The sequence below is a fragment of the Homo sapiens genome, chromosome 3, assembly GCF_000001405.40.
Source record: "Homo sapiens chromosome 3, GRCh38.p14 Primary Assembly".
NCBI classification, from domain to species: Eukaryota; Metazoa; Chordata; class Mammalia; order Primates; family Hominidae; genus Homo; species Homo sapiens.
In genome coordinates this window covers 115,683,908-115,704,549 of record NC_000003.12, presented here as the reverse complement: position 1 = coordinate 115,704,549, position 20,642 = coordinate 115,683,908, and the positions used below count along the sequence as shown (strand labels likewise).

Below are 20,642 nucleotides of genomic sequence, written 5' to 3'. Positions count from 1 at the left end.
CTTGCAGAATCATGGCTGAGGATTACTGTTTTATCAAATTCTAACATGTTATGTTCAAATTGCGGGAGGTGAAGTGGATATTTTATGCAGAAAGAAAATAAGTGGAGACCTCTAAAATTAGTAACTAAGGTTGAATAGTTAGCATTTGATTATGGTAGGCTTCATAGGCAAAATGGCATAAGAGTTACTGGAGAATGAAAATCCAGAGATAGCTAAAATTACTACAAATGCTATCATATCTAAGAATTTAAGAGATCGTTGCACTATCCTGAGGAAGAGGAAATAAAAGTGTAGATAATTCCTCCCATCTATCACCCCCTTCACCTCCAGTGCCAGCAGAATGTTAAAAAGCCAACTGTGAAGATTTAACTCAGTTTGGGAGTTAATTTTTAAAATATTGTTATAACAAAAAAGCCTTGCATTATATACTTGCATGTGTGTAAATAAATGCAATCTCCATCTCTTACTGGGACAACTCATTTTGCAGTCATTGTGTGCCTTGGCTTCCTGGGGCCTGTCAAATTATGGTGCTGCTTTTGAGTAAAAAATCACTTTAGGAATCAATAGCACTCACTGGAACACAACCAGAACTATATTGAAAAAGTGATATTAGTATTTGTACTGATTTTTTATTTTTCAGTCAAAGATCTCCAAGCTGTTTACTTATTTTTAGTGGCAAAGAATGTTATAGATTTGACTATTTGGGAACACTATAACAATAAACAGTTAAAGAACAAAGAGTCACGGAGAGTCCGTGTTTTTAGAGGATAGCTCTATAGAGTCATGTACGCTCTGCCTATCATATAATACAGCCATTTGAAAAATCATGCCTCACTTTTCTGAACCCAATGTTTTTTTCTCTCCAATAAAGCCATTTTCCAAGACATACTTTACATCTAAAACTGCCTCCTATTTATTATCTACCTTATTTCAAAATCCTATTTATTTGAAAGCAATCAGAATACATACAGAAACTTCAGAGTAGAAAGAGGCTGTGGAGATCCTCTAGCATTTCCCCACCTAATGCAGGAATCCCCTATGATACCCCAGGCAGAGGGACAGCCTCTACTTTAACAGGCATTCCAGCTCTTCTGTAAATTATTCCAGATACTCAGCTGAAATCTACTCCCTCTAAGTTTCTATGGAGTTCTGTCTTCTGGAATAACACAGAACAAATATATCTCAAATATATTCTCTGGCACATGATAGCCCTTCAAAAAGGCAAAAATAGCCTCTTTCCTCATAAAGTTACAAACATCTTATTTTCCTCTTCAATCATAAAACTTCACTAAAAAATAAACTGGAATTGTGCCATCTTTTCCTCACCTTCCTTATTTCTCTGTGAACTGAATTTTAGCTTTACTGTTTTTAATAACAGTGTTCTCCTTGATTTCATAAATATACATATTCCCAATCCTAAGGCCTTTTCTCATTTACCATTGTTCTTTATCTTTCCTTAAGTACTCTTTATTTTGACTGTTGACCTTTACCTGAGCACTGTACTCCAGAAAACATCAACAATTAGGAAAGTTCCTTAGCCTTTTGCTTTCTTAAATCTCCCACATCTTTTTGTACTCCAGGAAATGGCTAACCTTGAAGAACACTCTTCTCCATATGACTTGCGTCAACTCTTTCTCAGGACTCCCGTAAGACTCAGAGATGATCCCCTTCTTTACCTGTAACAAGGGCAAATATAGACCTTTCCCCTTTTGCCTGAAACTGCTGACAAAAATAGATACAGATACTCTTAACTTTCCATTCTTTGTCTCATGGATGTTTAGCTGAGATTAGAATTTTTTCCTTTGAAAGGAGCTACACACACAGAGAAACAAATCCTGTTTAGTTGACTGGACTTCCCCTGATTGCAAAACAACACAAAATTACCTGACCTATAACTTGTCTACTCCTTCCTATAAAAGTCTAATGGAAAACCACCCTGCCAAGACATGATCTTGAGATCTGGAGTCTCTTGCAACAGATTAAGTAAAATCATCTCCTTAACTGTTGGTGCATTTTGGCTTTGACACCTTCTTAAAATATTCCTTTTTCTTAGCTTCAATGAGCAGTATATTCTGGATTTATTTCTGCTGTTTTCTAGCTTTTCTTTTGCCATTCTGGGTCTAGTTTTTTTCTTTCTGTCCCCTAACATGACCTCAATCCAAGATTCAAGTCAATATTATCCTTGTAGACTCTGTATCAGAAAACTCATTCCCTCTAATGACTTCAATCCTGACCTCTATCCAGGTAACCACCTGATTTATATTACCACTGTCTTATCATTAATCCTTAAAGATCACTGTAAGCATATTACTTTCTTTATCATGAAATCTTAACTCCTTGTTCATATCCATCAAATTCCAAGTTCTACTTCCAACTTCTTAAATTCTTAAATTCCAAATTCTTACTTCCCAAGTAAGTACAATCTTGACTCCATTCCTGGCTCCAATCCTATGTCTTTATCTGAGACATCACCTGACCATTATCTCTACAAGTGTAACCAGATTGGCCTTAACATTCTCTCAGTGATTCAAATTTAAAACCCTCTCTCCCAAATGCACCTGTATCTGTTGATTCTTCTTTCTCAGAAGCACATCTCTCTAACTGAGGCCAAGAAATGGAAAGAAAAGATTTAAAAATAGGAACTGTACTAATACAATTGATGTTAAATATATCAGACTCAAAGAGAATTGAATCTAGCAATACTACTACAATTTGGGCATGGAACCAGTAATAGCCAATGGGAGGAAGGACAGGTTGGCGGGGTGGAATGTCTGAGGCTTATGATTATGGGAAACAGTAAAATAGAAGGTCAACAGCAGAAGTAGTAAACAAACATTGGAGGTTGGTAGAACACAGCAACTAAAAAAGTCCAATGTAAATCAACCATGGACATTTGGGGAAATCTGTCAGCCAACAATACAGCCTCCTAATTATAGGTCCAAGAACAAGATTACCATCTCCAAGAGAATAGATGAGAATAAGGCTAGGCCTTAGTCTTGGAGAAACCAGAATCTAAAAGAGATAAGATAGGAATGTAGGTAATGTAAACCAAGCAGAAGTCTAGTTAATGGAACTGTTCCCAAGTAAGAAACCAATTATTGGTGGGTACCATTTGACTTGGTGGTGAGCCAATTGTGTGTAGGGCTCTTTAAATGACCCTACCCCCGGAATAACAATGATACTGATTCCACAGCCAGGTACAGAACTCACCTGAAAGAGAGATGGTGAGTGGTGAGTGATCTCACAGAGGGGCTCAGAGGATATATGACAGTACACCAAACTGGCATTTCAGGGGGTGGCAGAGAAGATACTAATATCAGAACGAATAGAGTCATATCTTAACATATCATTCTGTTCCCAAGGTAGACCTCTTCCAAACTTCTTCTCTGTTGTGGATAGTGGTAGCTAAAATAGTCACTTAAAGCTGACAGATCATAATATGAACGGGAGAGGAGATGGTTGCTGCCCCAACAAATTATCTGACACCCTTTAGTCTGAAACAGGGAACATAGCTTTCCTTGGGATTTAAGGGAAAGTGTACTAAATTTAAACATTTTGTCATAGTCTTACTGTCATTTGACTGGGTCATGTTTGATGTCTGCTGTCAGTCTGATCTACATGTCCTTGTCATCACTGCTAATTCAGGTAATAAATTTCTCAATGAGTAGTAAAGATAATTATAAACTCATCTGTGCCCTGAGGCATCCTGTGTAATTACTGAGATCAAAAATGTGAAAATACTACAGATAGAAAAAATAGAGTTAATTTTGTTTCCTACATTAGGTTTTTATGAGATTTCAGAGGGAGAATTAGTGAATTCAGGAAAGTGTAGCAATAAATTTGGGGTAAAGATGGCATAGAAAATATTTAGATGTGGGAGAAAATAAGAAAAAGACTTTTTCACTGAAGTTAACTTCAGTGTACATAATAATATAGAGAGAAATTCTATGGAGCATCAACCACTTACAGCCAAGACTAAAAGGAACACACATATAGTTGAGCAAAGGTGGGTTTATTTACATGTTACAGCTAGGAAGACTCTATGCTATGGAGAATCATGAGGTGTCTCACAAGAAGGGACTAGAAAGGGCTTTATTTGGGCAGGTGTTAGGTGATTTGGAGGTGGTTTTAGGGAAACAGAACTTTGCTCTGGATTGGAATGCTGTCACAAAACAGGCGTAATTTTATTTTTAGGCATCTCAATAAATATCATCTAGGAAGAGGGAGGAATAAAGTAAGCATCATTATTCATATTGGCCAGGCTGAGGAAATATTCAGACATTTTATGGTTTGGACAATGTGCATATTTAGTCTGCGTTCAGACATGATTATTATGGTGGTCTTGTTTTGTCCTGATCCATCACACAAAGTGCCCTTGTCTGATGTTGGTGTTCTGCAAAGTTGTTTATATTAACAGAACACTAAGGCTAACTTGTGAGCTCCAGGCCAGCTCCTGGCTGTCAGAAGCTGCTTTTCTCTTTCTTGAGACAAATAAGGAACAGTTAAACTTGACTTTTCCAGATCTGAGGTGTCATTTAAGGCCCTTTCTTATACTTGCCTGTATCCCACTGCATAGTTTCCTGTCTAGTAATACTACAGGCATGTAATTCCCCTGAGCATCATAGAAAGAGAAATTACATTGATTGCCCAGACACTGTGAAAAAAATTTTACCTCAACCCAGTGCCATCAGCTCAAGCTCTATCCTGAAAATGCTTTTACTGGCTCTTAAAGATGCATATGACTCCCAATAGACTAGTGGCACTGTTTCCTAATTTAAAATATTTTAATTAAATAAAATCCTTCTTAAAGAAGAAAGAGCAAACCAGATCAGAGTCTGTCACCTCGGTTGTCTTCTCACTGCACTGATATGACAAGACAGCAAGTTGGGGGTTTTCACCCTCTCTCATCCCCCTCTTCCTTTAATGGCCTGTCAAAAGGAAACTCCATTCAGTGTTGGTATTAATGCCTGCTGTAAATAAAAAGGAAATGGGAGGAAAGAGGAGGAGGGAAGAGAGGGGGTGTTTGATAGAAGCTAGATTTGCAGCTCAATTGCAAGGCATCTCTCTCAGAGTGTCTAGACACCAGCTGCCTGGTTACCATGGAAACCCACTAACTTTGGCTGATGGGCTGAGTAGTAACGACTCTCAGGAGATCTGGGTGGGTGCGTAGTGGTGGGGGAAGAGGAAGGAAGGTTGGGAACGATGGCACAGAGGGTGTTAGAGCAATATGGGAGAGAACAAGTGAAAACAAAATTCTCTTTGTAAGAGAGTGGCATTAACCCTGTTACTGTTTCTCACGTGCACTTCACACATGTGGTGACAAGGTACAAATCTGTCTTACTCAGCAGGTGTCAGGATGCAGGATGCTCAAGATGAATAGCGGAGGTAGAATGATTGTATTCTCATCAACCTCCTGCCAATGCCAAAGTACTTCCTCAGTAAACCAAATCTTTCCATGGTAGACAGACACAATCAACAATTGTCCACATAAGATCAGAAGCAGGGAATTCCAATCCACGAGAATGGCTGCCGCTTTTACAAGGAATCAGCAGTAAAGATGAAACACAGCCCTTTATGCCTTAGGTGTCCTGCCTTCCTGCTCCTCCCATTTTCTGTTGTCATACGTAAGGGTTGGGCAGCTGTTCCAACAATGGAGGATGGTGGTGGGAATGCTGAGGCTATGAGTAAGAAATGAAGGATTACCAGTTTAGGGCCAAGTCATTATATGTACAACCATATTTTGTTATCTAACTTATAAACAGATTCCTATTATCAGGGGTTCTGGTCCATAGATTTTAAAGTTTTATAGTTGCTTGCTGTCACCCTGGTCCCTTCCCACTTTCCTTTGGGATTGGGATTTTTCAGGTAGCACTGACACCCCCACACCCTCATCTCTCTTGTCACCTAAGTATGTGCTCATTTCCATCCTCTACCCACACTTTTCCACTCCACTTTCCAAGTTCCACCACATACAAACATAGCCCCACAGACATAAGCAGCCTTTTCTCACCAAAGATTGTCTACAGCTGTATGAATTAGATTTGTTTGTCTCACAGTGTTCTGCATTTATTCTTACCAACCACAGTTAGAATCTTAAGAGAAGACCTACTGGTTTTATTGGAGTAATCTGAGTCACAAAACTATTTTCTAATTGTGCAAAGCTAATAGATGATATGAGACTTAATCCTTGGACTCTGATCATGACCGACAGAACTGGTTTTATATATATATATTATATATATTTTATATATAATATATATATTATATTTATATATAATATATATTTTATATATATTATATATTATATATATTTTATATATATTATATATTATATATTTTATATAATATATAATATATATTTAATATATATATTATTTAATATATTTTATATATTATATATAATATATATTATATATATTATATATAATATATATTATATATTTTATATATTATATATAATACATATTTTATATATTATATATAATATATATTTTATATAATATATAATATATATTTTATATACATGTTATATATTTTATACACACACACACACACACACACACACGCACATGTACTCTGTGAATTTTTATGCAGTGGTTCCTTTGAAGAAATGCTCCCGCATGGGAAAACGTTCCAATCACATTGAGTTATAATCAATATGTAAGCAAATTTAACATACTACAAAAGGGTTACTAATAGCTAAATGCTGAGTTAACTATAATTTATAAGTGGAAAATTTTAATCTGCCAGAGACTCTTTGTTAGACATTAAAGTTTCTATGACTTTGATTTGATGATTCAACATGAAAGAAAGGCAGCTCACTTCTAAGCAAAAGTGTGTTTTGCCATCTATTTCCAGTCTGGGCAGAATTCCCAGTGGTTTTGAATTTGCTAAAATGGTTCTCTGCTTTTAGAGCTATATCCTTTGCATTGAAAGATGAAACAATTTCCTCCCTGTGGCATGGACTCCATGTAAGGAGGGCTTGTGAAGCAGTGAGGCTAAAACAAGGGGCCAGTGCCCTGATGCCACAGACACAACCCAGTTATAGTTGCTGTCCAGCGGCCATCATCTTCCGGTCATTAGGAGGATGGCATTACATGTGAGAACTCTATGAGTCACCAAAGAATGTACAGGGACAAAGGACGGTGAGGAAACATGTGCTTAGGTGGCGGAGAGGAAGTTCCTTTAGAACTGCCTGTTTAATACATGTGCTTGGTATCTTCTTCACTCATTGAATGAATTGATATTTATTGAGCATTTACTGCTTGTTCCAGTTGCTGAGAATACCACAGTGTACGAAATAATAATAAAACAAAAAATACCCTGTCTTCATGAAGTTTATTATTATAAATAAATAAATGTAATGTATAATATATTAGAAGGCAGTAAGCACCATGAAAATAACAAAATTGGCTGGGTGTGGTGGCTCATGCCTGTAATCCCAGCACTTTGGGAGGCCGAGGTGGGTGGATCACTTGAGGTCAGGAGTTTGAGACCATCCTGACCAATATGGTGGAGCCCCATCTAAATACAAAAATACAAAATTACAAAATTTAGCCGGGTGTGGTGGGCGCCTGTAGTGCCTGCTACTCAGGAGGCTAAGGCAGGAGAATCACTTGAACCCAGGAGGTGGAGGTTGCAGTGAGCTGAGATTGCACCACTACACTCTAGCCTGGGCAACAATGGTGGGACTCTGTCTAAAATCAAACAAACAAACAAAACTAACCAACAAACAAAAATTACTGAAAATAACAAAACTGGGAAAGAGAAGGGGAAATGCTGGGATGAGGTTGGGGTGACAATATTAAACGAAGAGAAAGTTGCTTTGAGAAGGTGATATCTGAACGGAGAGCTGAAGATGGTTAGAGAGTGAACTCTATAAATTTCTAGAGGAGGGAGGTTTTGAGGCAGAGGGAACAGTAAGTTGCAAATTCCCTGCATATGAGCATACCTGTTTGTGGGGGGGGGGGGCGGTGGGGGGCAGCAAGGAAATCAGTATTGCTAGAAAGGACCAAGAAATGGAGAGTAACAGGAGAGGAAATCCAAGTGGTGACCTAGTGGATATGCTGAGAACATGGAGCTTTGAGGCCACTTTAAGGACTTGACTTTTGCTGAAGTGAGATGGGTGCTAGAAAAAGTGAGATGTGCTGAGATTCTGGATATATGTTGAAGGTGGAGCCAATAAGACTTGCTCATAGATTTAATGTTGTCAAAGGAAAAGAAAAAAAGGAATAATTTTAAGGCATATGGCCTAAGTATCAGGAAATGATGGACTTGTCATTTCCTGAGATGAGAAAGACGGGAGAAGGAGTAAGTTCAGAAAAAAAAGACAGAAGTTTGGTTTTCAAGAGATTTAATTTGAGGTATCTATTAGATATCCAAGTTGAGATGTAGAGTAAGCAATTGTCTGGAGTGGGGAGAGAGGTCCGGGCTATAGATGAGCTCAGAGAGATCACCAAAGTCATAAATGTAAATAAAAAAAGAGAGAGAGAGAGAATGTAGAAGAGAAAAGAGGAGAAGACATCCAAGAACTTAGCTGTGGGGTAACTCAACATTTCAAATCAGGGAAATAAAGAAGGAAGGGCAAATGAAACTGAATGGGACTAGCCAGTAGGTTGGCAAAAATAATCAGAATAGGCAACATCCTGGACGAGCAATCATGAAAGTGTTTCAAAGAGTAGAAAGTGATCAACTCTGCGATGCTGTTAATAGGTAAAAGAAGATGAGGCCTTAGAATTGGCCATTGGGTTTTGGCGATGTGGAGGTCGTTTGTGAGTTTGGCTAAAGTTGTTTCACTGGATGGGGAGTTTGGGGAGTGGGTAGGAGGTAGATGTGATTGTTGTGGATTAAACGCAGAATAGGAAGAAACAAATTGGAGAGAGTATAGACAACTCTGGTTGAGAACACAGACTCAGGAGCTAGACTGCCTGACTTTGAATGTGTTTCCCAAATGTGATACCTCAGGCATGTTATGTGTTCTCTGTACTTTGATTTCTCCATCTATAAACGGGGGAGTTCTTACCTCATAGGGTTGCTGTGTATGGATGACACATGTAAAATGCTTAGATTATATGCTCACTAAGTATTAAATAAAACAAACAATCCATATTGTCACTTCTCTTAATTCTTAAAAAGTTGGGGTCCTTGGAAACAAGTTCTATTTTCACTTCTGGAGACTAAACTAATAATAAATGTTATTTGAGCAACTGTGATGAAATTTCTGGAAATGTTGATCTATTTTAACAGTGCTTGATGACAGACTTGCATTGAACCACCTCAAGGGTGTGTCACATTCCATTTCCCAGTTAGTCTAAGGTTCCAGTTTTAAAAAGCATAGTCTAAGGATCCAGAGTATTTAATGCATTTAAGGTTTTCCAAGCACTAATATTCTTTAACTCTGAAAGATCCTAAAATTTTTCTTTTCTGATCACATTGAACTTCTGTGGTAGTTTATGTAAAGCACTTTGAAATCTACAATATTCAAAAGTGTTAAGGCACTGATATTTCCATGCTATAAAAACAGTTCAACTGGCATTTTGTCAAACAGAAGTCTTTATCAACTAACACTTCTGCACTACAATAAAAAGTCGCATTTGTATAATGATCCTGAAGCATTTTATGACAATGATTACTATACTTCTAATGTTGTGTATGTTTTATTATATCCCAGATCTTTCCCATTGGAAACCCAATCATGACATGAATAGCAATTATTAATCAAAATATTTGATAAACCAGAATGTTTCATTCCCCAATTAACACTGGATAGCACAAAATTTACTGTAAATGTGCTGTTCCTTTTCTATCTTGAGGATACGCATGTTGAAAAATAAAAAATAATTATGGAAAGGGAGCAGAAATGAGACTCTGATATACTCACTAGCCCTGTGGCCTAAGATAAGTCATTTAAGTTCTCTTGCTTCTGTTTCCTCATTTGTAAAAAAGGGACAGTGATATCCCTCATCATAGGATCATTGTGAAGCTTAAACAAGAAACTCCATGTGGAGCTTTTAGCAGAAAGCCTGGCACAAGATAAGTAAATGTTATCTGTATTTTGATCATCATCGGTATTATTGTTGCTATTGTAATTATTCTATGGCGAGGGCCTAATAAGTGAAGCCAGACCAAAGACTGAGTAATTCAAAGCTATCAAATATGCATTAGGTTGGCTTCACATTTTAATTAAGGCTTGAGTTAATATTAGAAATATAGAGTCACCATTGTCTTTGTGAGGAAAGCCCGATTAATTATAGAAGCTCAATAGACATACAGGGCTTGTGATATATTCATAAGGATTTATTCCAGATAGATGGCTTCGGGGTGGAGCTGGAAAAACAAGCTATGCTTCGATTTCTGGGCTGCCTGTAACAGCAGCGGCAGCCACTCAGGGTTTCAAGAGACGCTCTCACAGCCTCCTGAATGACTGCTCCCCCCTCCCCTGCAAGTGACGGGGACAAATGGCTGCTGTCTCACCACACATCTCCTCTTCCCATCTCCTCCACCCTCCGCCAGCCCACCGGGCACGTGCCAGCAATGAGCTGCCTGCCTCACTGGGATGCTCAACTCCATTAATAAGCCCTGGAAGGCTGATAATTGGGGATTCGTGGAGCCTGCAGTTTTTCAATAAGCCAGGTTGTTATGGAAACCAGCAGCAGACCTCCATGTCCAAATTATTGATCCTAAACAAAATAAAATAAAATAAAAGTGGGGAGCAGGAAAGGATCATTTCAATCCATCCTCTCCCCTGCCCCGCCCCGCCCCAGCCCCCATCATTTTATTTTAGAAGTCCATTACCAATTTGCACACATGAGACTTCACAACTCTTCTCTCTTTCGGTTTCCTTCTCAGCACTCCCCCACCCCTTTCTTAATTACAACTGAATGTTTTTTCACCTCTAGCAGAAAAATCAGCTGAGCAGGGTACCAAAGGCACACCAGAGTAGACACTCTAAATTGAATTTAACACCATAGCATTAATGCTGTTTATTTGAGCCAAGAAAATCAGCAATGAATATCAATGTGCTTTCCTCACCGTTAAAATAAATAATAATAATAATAATAATTTAACAGGATTTTTTTAAATGGTCCCAGAGTCTCCCCGTGGCTCTTAATATGTATTGTTCTCTAGCAAGACGGCCAAGCCACCACCCAAGATGACTAGCCCTGTGTGTTGAAACCAGGGCCCAGCTCTCAAATTGTCAGAGGAAAGGGGGCAGCATTTCCTTGGACTACTTTTAAAAATTAGCTGACAACCTTCTTACAATAAAAATCCAATTACTCCCTTTGGTTAATAAATTCAGGTATGATGCAAAGAAGACACCTGAGAGGGAGGCCTGGAGAGAACACTAAATGAATCCAGCCTGGAGGCTGCAGTGGGCCTGGAATCGCCACCTCCATCTCTATGTTGAAAAGACGAGGACACCATTGTTTCCTGATCAACTTCCCATTTCATCCCAGCAGAGGGCACCAGTGTAATTCTGTTCCCAGCTGTGGAGGCTGAGTGGAAGGCAGGCGTGTCAGGCGTCACTCTCCAGGAAGAAATGACCCCAGGCAAACTGCATAGCAGTGCAATAGGAACAACTATTGTGATTGGGTCCTATTTTGAAGTTAATCCTAAATCAATTTTGATTTTTTGGTCCTTCGAATATGACCAAAAACTCAGTCTACAAGTAGATTGTTAAGTCACTTTAACAGGTATGCTGAAATAATATTAATATCTTTGAACTGAATTCATAAGTGTGGATTGTGCTTTGTGTACACTTCATAGAGACATCAGAGTCATTCTGGGAGCAAAAATAATATGGTGAAGTAAAAACTTTAACCACCCTCTATTTGCTGTTGGACCAAGACTGAAAACTTCCGACCACTTCAAGGTCCAACATACCCTACCTTCTCCTCACTGGCACAAACTACTAAGGCCGGTATCCTCACCAATGCTTCATCATAATGCTCATTTCTTTTCTTCAGACCCTACCCACTATCGTGGTCTCTGAATTCCTTTGCCACAACTACAGACTGCAGTTTGCAAGCAGTCACAGACTTATTTTGTTCTATACTGGTACTGAGTCTTTTTTGTTTCTGTTTTCTTTTAAGAGCCTTACTTTTCTCCCCATCCAGACTGTAACTTCCATGACAACAGATATTCACTTTTATAATCTACATCCCTCACAATGCCTGTGTAGTGTGGAAATTATACGTATTAATAAGTACAAATTAATTGAATGACAGTAGAATACAGTCCTTGCGATATCTGGGTTTATCTCCTCTATTCTGATGCTAACTCATTGTGGGACCATGGCCAGACCATGCAACTGAATCCCAGAACATGCTTCATCGTTCATTAAAACACAGGCACACACAACTTCTCCTGGAGATTGTTCAAGCATAGTGCATCATAATATTTTTGTGCAGTGGTCCCAGTAGAGTATCTGATGAAAGACAAGGTCATTTTGCCAAGAATATCATCCGTATGCACACACAGTATAACATGTTGCAAATAATCTTAGGAGATGAAAGAACCCTCCTGAAGCCCATCCAGTTCCCAGGCTTAGGCAATTTTTAAGTTTCCTTTTAGGTCTAAGACTGTAGGATTGAAATACAAGATGTGACAAGTTATAGCTGGTATCTACCTGGAAAGAGTGTGTTAGCTATTTCCCTTAAGGTATCCCAACCTTTTCTATTGAATCCCTAGATTGCAGTTTCTGAGGGACAAATTACATGAAGCCCAAATTAACCCTAACATCACTACCTGGTAACCTTGGCTGACTTCCAGGCTCAATCATTACTGATAATGTAAGGACTTGGTAATGTTGCTGAGCTACAAGGTAGGCCAAATAGAATAGACTCTGACTCCCAAAAGAGACTGCAAATCATTATGTGTCTCTCTTGCTGGCCATAAATCATGTCCTATTTGCACGTTAATTTCCTTCATAAAATCAGGTGTAGTACCAAAGAAAAAGAAAGTTCCCCAATAGCTTCAGCTGAAAGGAACAGGAACAATGGTGACTTTCTATTAGGCACTTACTGTGTGTTCAATAAAATACCATAATAGACACCTTTTACACATGATCTATTTAATACCGACAACCACCAAGTTCAGCAATGAGGATATTTTATTTCACAATGACAAAGCTGACGCTGAATTAATGGCATAGAGCTGGTTAGGGACTGGACCTTTGATTCAAACATAGATAGGTCCGATTCCAAGATCGCTCTGATATTTCTCCTCCACTGCAGGCCTCCAAGCAAGAGATTTGGCTAAATTCATGTTTGTTGCAATTCTGTCTATTGTTGCAGTATCCACTGAATAATATATTTGTCTTTTGTATTACTTCGAATACAAAATAGTACTCTGAAATACTTTACTTTGGGTCACCAAGAAACCATTGTTCTCTTTATTTGCTGGATGAAGTAATTTCTTCCACTATTTTACCTGTAGGAAGATGACAGATTATCCATGCTTTTACCATCTTCAATTTTAAGATTTGCCCAGAGGGGGCCAGGCGCAGTGGCTCATGCCTGTAATCCCAGGATTTTGGGAGGCCGAGGCGGGTGGATCATGAGGTCAGGAGATTGAGACCATCCTAGCTAACATGGTGAAACCCCATCTCTACTAAAAATACAAAAAGTTAGCCGGGCATGGTGGCGGGTGCCTGTAGTCCCAGCTACTCAGGAGGCTGAGGCAGGAGAATGGCGTGAACCTGGGAGACGGAGCTTGCAGTGAGCTGAGATTGCACCACTGCACTCCAGCCTGGGCGACAGAGGGAGACTCCGTCTCAAAAAAAAAAAAAAAAGAAAGAAAGAAAAAAAAAAAAAAGATTTGCCCAGAGGATCTTCATATGGGGAGAGGAGAGTATGAGGATCAAAAGTGATTATTTCAGATTATCAGAAGAAAACTTAGGCAAAATGATAATAATTGAGGACCTACTCTATACCTGGTTCTTTAAATATGTTACCTCATTAAATCCTCATCACAACTGTTTAAGGGTAACATTTTAATCTCTATCTTATAGATGAAGACACTGAAGGTTATACAAATCATTAAAACCATGCAGTGAGGAACCTGAGGTTGAACCCAGGACTGTCCAGTTCCAAGACTGTCTCTTTATGAGGTGTTCAAAGTAAAAAAATGTTTCTGAAACATGCCTTGTAATCTGAAACTTCTTATGGAAATAGGCCTACATTTAAAATTGTGAGATTATGAAACTCAATCCTTTTCTTTTCCTGTCTGGAAGCAAGCAGAGACAATGTCTCTTGGTTTGTTGAGGCAGCGCTGGCTGGGGACTGATGCTGCAGAAGGGCTCAGACAATGGTGGGCAGGGGGTGGCGGGGGGGTCTCTCCTAGGGGAGCTGTGCCCCATCTGCCACTTAGATCTGCTCAAAGACAGAAAATCCATTTGTCAAGGAACCCTTTAGGGCCTGCTGTTTGTGAAGCCAAGAACAGAGAGCGCTAGTGCTGGAAGATCCCATAAAACCATCTTTTACCAGCAAGGAAGGTAAATTGGCCTTGGCCATGGCCAGAGAGCTTGTCAGAAACAGAGCTACAAGAAAACCACGGCTGTCTCTTGGTACTCAGCTCAGTCAGTGCCTTCCCCTGCTCTTCAGCGCCCCTCCAGCCCTGCTTCTCCCACACCTCTTGCTTTCTCGCCTATTATTCCTTCTTTCTCTTTTCTACCATCTATTCTTTCTCCACTTTGCCCTTGCTTATTCTTTCTGCCTCCCCTGATCGATTTCTGGTCCTCTTCTGCTTTTTTTCCTCCCACTTTTTTCTCCATTTTCTACCCCATTATTCTTCCCTCCTACTCTCCCTTTTCTCTATAGGAAGTAAAGAATCTCTATCCACATCCCCACCTTGTTCCTCCTAAGGGCCCACCTTCCTTTTTCACATTCTGACCAATTTTCCTTCTCAATCAAATATCCTCATTCAGACTCAGAGTGTCTGGGTGCCTAGGAAATATTTAGAAATGGGTCATGGAAAAGAAGTTGCTGATGTATAAAATTCCAAAGAACTGGGCTGCAAGCAATAAAGATGGACACTTGCCTGAAAAACTCTTAGCTTTTCTTGTGGGGCTTCAAATTTAAAAAATTAAATGGTTCTTTCCCTTTCAAGCTGTTTATGAAAAGAAATCTCTCCATAGGTGCAATCCATATTATTGGCCAGTCAGAGGATGTCTATTGAGAGCCTTCTATGTGCTGTGCTCTATTCTGAGCACTGGGGCTACCATGCAGCCTTCAAGAAATGAAAAGTCTACTGAGAGGGAGAGAAACTGAGGACGACACAGATAAACACAGTCGTTTTAGGCACTAAGAATGCTACGGAGAAAATAAACTGGGTAATGTGATGTAACTGTTGGCATTGGTAGGGGTAGTGCAGTGCTGTTCTGCCCAAATGGTCAGGGAAGACTTGTCTGAGTAAGGGACATTCAAATGGAGACCTGAGTGCCAAGAGGCCAGGGCTAAGAGGTGACCATGGGAAGCTCAAGGGAGAAAGCAAGTGTAAAGGCCCTGGGACAGGAGCAAGCTGTATACATTCAAGAGACCTTAAGAAAGCTATTAGGGCTGGAGAATGGGGAAGAAGGGCTGAGCAGAAGGACATCTGATCAGAAAGCTAAGACGTGAGATCATATGAGGCCTCCTAGGCTGCGGAAGTAAGTTAGATTGTATTCAGATTGCAAAAAGTAGGCAAGCATTGGGAGGTTTTTTGTGGGGCATTGATATGGACAGGTATAAATTCATAGCTTTGTATGAGTGGTTTTTCAAGTAGTCTACTTGAATTTATAAGGAGTGAGCATGGCATTATGGGACCTATCCCTTTTACCCAGCTGAATTGTGTCACGTTGTGATGTTAATCACTGAAGAGGCATTTAGGATGTCAGTCCGCGGAGTTAAATAAGAATTGGCCCCATTGCCCAGGCATGTTTCCTTTTGGGGCACGTGCTTCAACAGAGGCACAAACAGCTATCGTCCACTAGGGCTAAGGAGTGGGAGAAAGAAAGGCGACAGATTTTTTAGAATTTTTGAGACTGATTTCGGCCTTTAACCTTCTAGAAATCTTATTTTTGTGGATATTCCAAAATTGTATAGATAGAGTTTTTTAAATAGTATCCCATCAGAAGGAATGCATTATTTATACAATTATGTTGACACTGGAGTATAACTAAAAAATATTACTGCATTATTAGCCTATTTTTTAAGTTAAAGTACCCATGGATATAATAATTTTAATAATTTGAGGCCAGGGGCACTGGCTTATGCCTACAATCCCAGCACTTTGGGAGGCCGAGGTGGGTGGATCACTTGAGGCCAGGAGCTTGAGACCTGGTGAAACCAACATGGCGAAACCTCATCTCTACCAAAAATCCAAAAAATTAGCTGGGCATGGTGGCACACTCCTGTAATCCCAGCTACTCGGGAGGCTGAGGCAGGATAATCGGTTGAACCCGGGAGGCGGAGGTTGCGGTGAGCCAAGATTGCACCACTGCACTCCAGTCTGGGTGATAGAGTGAGACTCCATCTCAAACATAAATAAATAAATAAATAAATAATAAAAAAATTTCGTTAGTAACCCTGGGTGAGTCACTCAAATTCCATTTTTTTATGGTTTATACTACAAGTCAAATTTTAGAATTTGAGCAGTATCTGTTTGTAAAATAAACAATTCAAGCTAAGTACAGATTGGATGCCTGCCTGAAAAGATGAGTTTTGAATTATGTTGAGTTTTAATCTTGCCAAGATTGAAGACCTTTTGAATTTGGTCTTAAGTTTAAAACAGTAATTTTTAATTATTATTAGTTAAAATGTGAAATCAAAGTTTAACCAAGATCACGAAATAGTTTGGTAGAGGTGTAGGGGATTGCGAGATAGGACCCCAATCCTAGGAACCCAATCCTTGTTAACCTGGCCTCTGCAAAACAACCGCAATTCCCAGAAACTACTGCTGAGATGCTGCTCCATGGAACTCCAGGCTCCAGCAACACAACTCAAAGTTCATTGATTGAGGATTCTAGAAAATAAATTTTCTTTGGGATTATGATTTGTAAAATATCATTTAGAAAATAAATTCTGCATGGTTTTAATACCAGTGGAACTAAAATTAAATGGAACAGTGGTTAGTTGCCTAAAGCCATGTTTAGAAGTTACTCACACCAGTCCTATCTGCGACTACACAATAGGACTGTAATATGAATCAATTTTCTGTTGACCTTATAAGTAATACACAAAATCTACTATATCATCAATATGGGTGCAGTTATCCATACTCATTGTGAAGATCAGCTTACAGTAAATGAGATCGATTGGCATTGACTCTTTTATTGCTGTCCACATGTAGACAATAAGTAGCTGAGAAATTTCTGAAATTTGCATTTTTCAAACTGTACTTCAAGGCTCAGAAATGATCTACCTAGAGGGTAGGGATAGATGCAAAAAAAAAAAAAGAGGGGGGATTTCAGGACATCTTCAGTCATCTCCACTTTCCCCTATCATTCTCAACCAAAGCTTCTCTGCTTTGGGGTTTAGTGTATATATTTTAAACTCATTTGAGCAAATAGTGCCTAGGCTAACAATTTTGAAAATGTCTGCCTTCAGCAATTACTTACTCATCTGATTCTACCTCTGTGAAGACATTGTTTCACAATGTTCCTCCTAGCACGAAAAGCATCTTTCTCACTAAAAATTAGTATGAGGGAAGGAAATAGTCAACTCTTCCTCTGCATTAAATGTTAAATGGTTGCAAATCAATCTGAACCCTGAAATCATCTCCGAAAAACCAGCTGAGAAGAACTATTGCCTCCATCAACATGTCTATTTTTAAATTTTCCTTCTTTTCTTATGAAAGAACATAATAATTTTCAAACTAAGTTAATCATGAGAAAGAGGTTTTAAGAAAATTCTAAAATTTAGTATTTTGGGTTCCAAGATTTGAGAATTTTATATCTGATGATTACTTTTAACTCATGTTTAAAGTTCCTAAGTATCCATTTTATTATAACCTCATAAATATAATAAATTATGCACTTTCCTTTAAAAAAAGATGAAAAGCCTTTCAATGCATTAAAAAGATACAGCTCAGATCAAATTTTGAGGACAATGTACAAATTCCTTCAGTAGCAATTGCTTTTCTAATTGAATACAAGAATACCAATTCTAAACTTTACTTTTCTTCCTTAACCTTTAGCAAGTGTACAATGCTCAACAGAAATGACTGCGAATGTTGAAAGTACTTCTCATGGCATCACATATATATGTACATAACTATGTGGTTTTACAAATGTATATTTATATGCTTCTACACTGATACATTATTTGGAAGTTGATAATTACTATTCTTAGTATTTTAGAATTATCAAAATAAAATTAATCAAATTGCTAAAATATAATGATCTGGGGTATGCTGGAGCTGACTAACGTTGGCTGCTGACAGCAAGATATTAGCACTTCTTCCCAACTGCTTATTTGGAGATTACACATTGGTAGCCTGAAATCAGCTAGGATGGGAGTATTTATACCATAGAAATTGGCAAAAACTACAAATAAAGGCTGTTAGAGTTTTGTTTTATTTTTTGGAGAGCCAGTTTACCAGCATGCCGCTGCAGATATCTGATAAAATCATAATGAATGGTTTACACCTTGGTGGCAAGAAAAAGAAAACTAACATATCTTCCAATAGGGGCCAGGTTCTCTTATGAATCTATTATAATTAAACCACCAATATCAAAGGAAGAGGAAGGAGGAAATAAAAAAAATCTTCCACCGCTGGTTTTCCTTCTAAAAGGATTTGATTACACCAATGGGGAGAACACTGAAACCACATTACTGAACTCTGCGCTTTCTTAGCCCTTTAAACTGGAATAGAATTTCACAAAGTGGGGCACATTCTGTCTTTTTACCAAATACATGAGGGTGACTTTAAGTTGCAGTTTTTGTGTAGGGAAGAATCCTTTCAGCCTCCCACTGCAATGTCCCTCATGGTCTGTAATCTGAATAGCTCACAGGCTGTACACAAATTATGTTTGCATTAAGGAATGGGAAAGCCTGTTTACTGGTCTGTGTCCCAACACTGTTGGTTTGGGAACACAATAACAATTCACCCTACAGTGGAGCAACAGCAGGTTCAATAGACTCTTACACACCTTGCAAAGATTACTTAATTGTGTCAGATGAGGAAAGGAAGCCAAGGAACCTGGCAAATCATTTCTTCCCTGGGTGTTTCTGTCACACACTAGCAAGGGCCACCCACAGGTCATTCATGTGGCTGGAGTGAAATTAATCACCTGCTTTCAGTAGGGAGCAGCCTTGACTTCCTCTAGTTCTCAATATGTTTCTGAATATAATGCAAAATGCTCACACTGGTCTATGAAGCCCTAAATGGTTTGAATTCTGGCAACCTCAGGGATGACTTACAGGCCTGAGTAACACTAAACTTTCCAATGAGCTTCTGTATTCATTTTCCTGGGTCAGTTTAGGATTTTATCTAAGGCATAATATTATTCATTCAAAGTATTGTCACAGATGCAGGAAAAGCAACAATAAACAACACAGACATGAAGCTACTTTTTCCACTGAAGGTTAAAAAGCTGCTGCAGAATTATGACCTGAATCAATTTATTTATACATGTGTGTTAACTTGAATGAAAGGTGGTGTCTCAAGTTTTTAAATAAATGACGTCTCTTTTCATTGGATAAATTTTATCCTTTAAGATTCAGATGAGGCAACCTCTACACCAAGAACTCTTCCTGGATAATGTTCCCCTAATTAGCCAAACCAGGGTTTTAGTTCTTAGGCACTATAAATTTCATCGTAGATAGCTTTAATCCCAACTCTTAACTCTCCTCAACCCACTGTAGGTTCACAAACATATCCTGATTACATGAGCAGCCGAGAAACGACCATTACTCTTCACACACACCCTCAGAGAGACAAAGGGTGTTCCTGGAGCCATTCTCTACTTCTTTTTGGGCTGAAGGGTGAAGAAAATGTGGAACTTACCGTTCTTCCAGATTTTCCCTACAGTCTGAACTCTTGGGCAGCCCTTTCCCTACATATTGAATGTGTGTGTATACATATGTGCTTGGAAATTGGCAGAAGGGTATACTACAGGCATGGATACAGTGCTTAAACATATCTAAATTATATCCTTCACTTTGTCATACACCAGGGAAGAGAACATTTTTTTCAAGGCTATAGAAATGTTCATCTCCACTTTATCTGAGAGACACACACATTCATCATGCACCAGTAAGAAGGGACCATTTTAAGTAAATGGCTTCTGGTTTCTATTCCAAATTCCAAAAGATTCTACTAACTCATACTGGAAAAACAAAATAAAACAGGGGAAAAAAAAGCCTTCAAAAGTTATTTCACTGTATATGTGCCACCAGGATAGAATATTTATGTTGAACATGTTTTACAAAGAAAGGCAAAAAGCCTTCCTAGAATACTTTCTTCCCCTGAAGATATCTTAAGAACTACAATTTCCCTTCCAAGTAGAATGGTGTGAGATGATCAAACTGAAATATTTTAATTCTCATAATCCTCTAATTTGTGATTTGGTGATTACAAATAAGTGTGAGGATTGCTGAGTAATCACATCTAACTTGTATATCTTCCATACCACCTTTTCTCGGGACGTTCAATAGCCCATT

General features: G+C 38.7%; 1 protein-coding gene across 2 annotated transcripts in view, besides 1 other annotated feature; it reads right to left on the bottom strand.

Annotated features, from left to right (window-relative positions):
* Positions 1-20,642, bottom strand: part of GAP43 (growth associated protein 43) — a 97,974-nt gene that overhangs the window by 16,934 nt on the left and 60,398 nt on the right. The window lies entirely within an intron of this gene.
* Positions 4,656-5,509: an enhancer, noted in NCBI's record as "NANOG-H3K27ac-H3K4me1 hESC enhancer chr3:115417888-115418741 (GRCh37/hg19 assembly coordinates)". NCBI's record gives its function as "activates a minimal SCP1, AML or CMV promoter by ChIP-STARR-seq in naive H9 embryonic stem cells {active_cell/tissue: H9 hESC(naive)}" and the evidence as "EXISTENCE:reporter gene assay evidence [ECO:0000049][PMID:30033119]".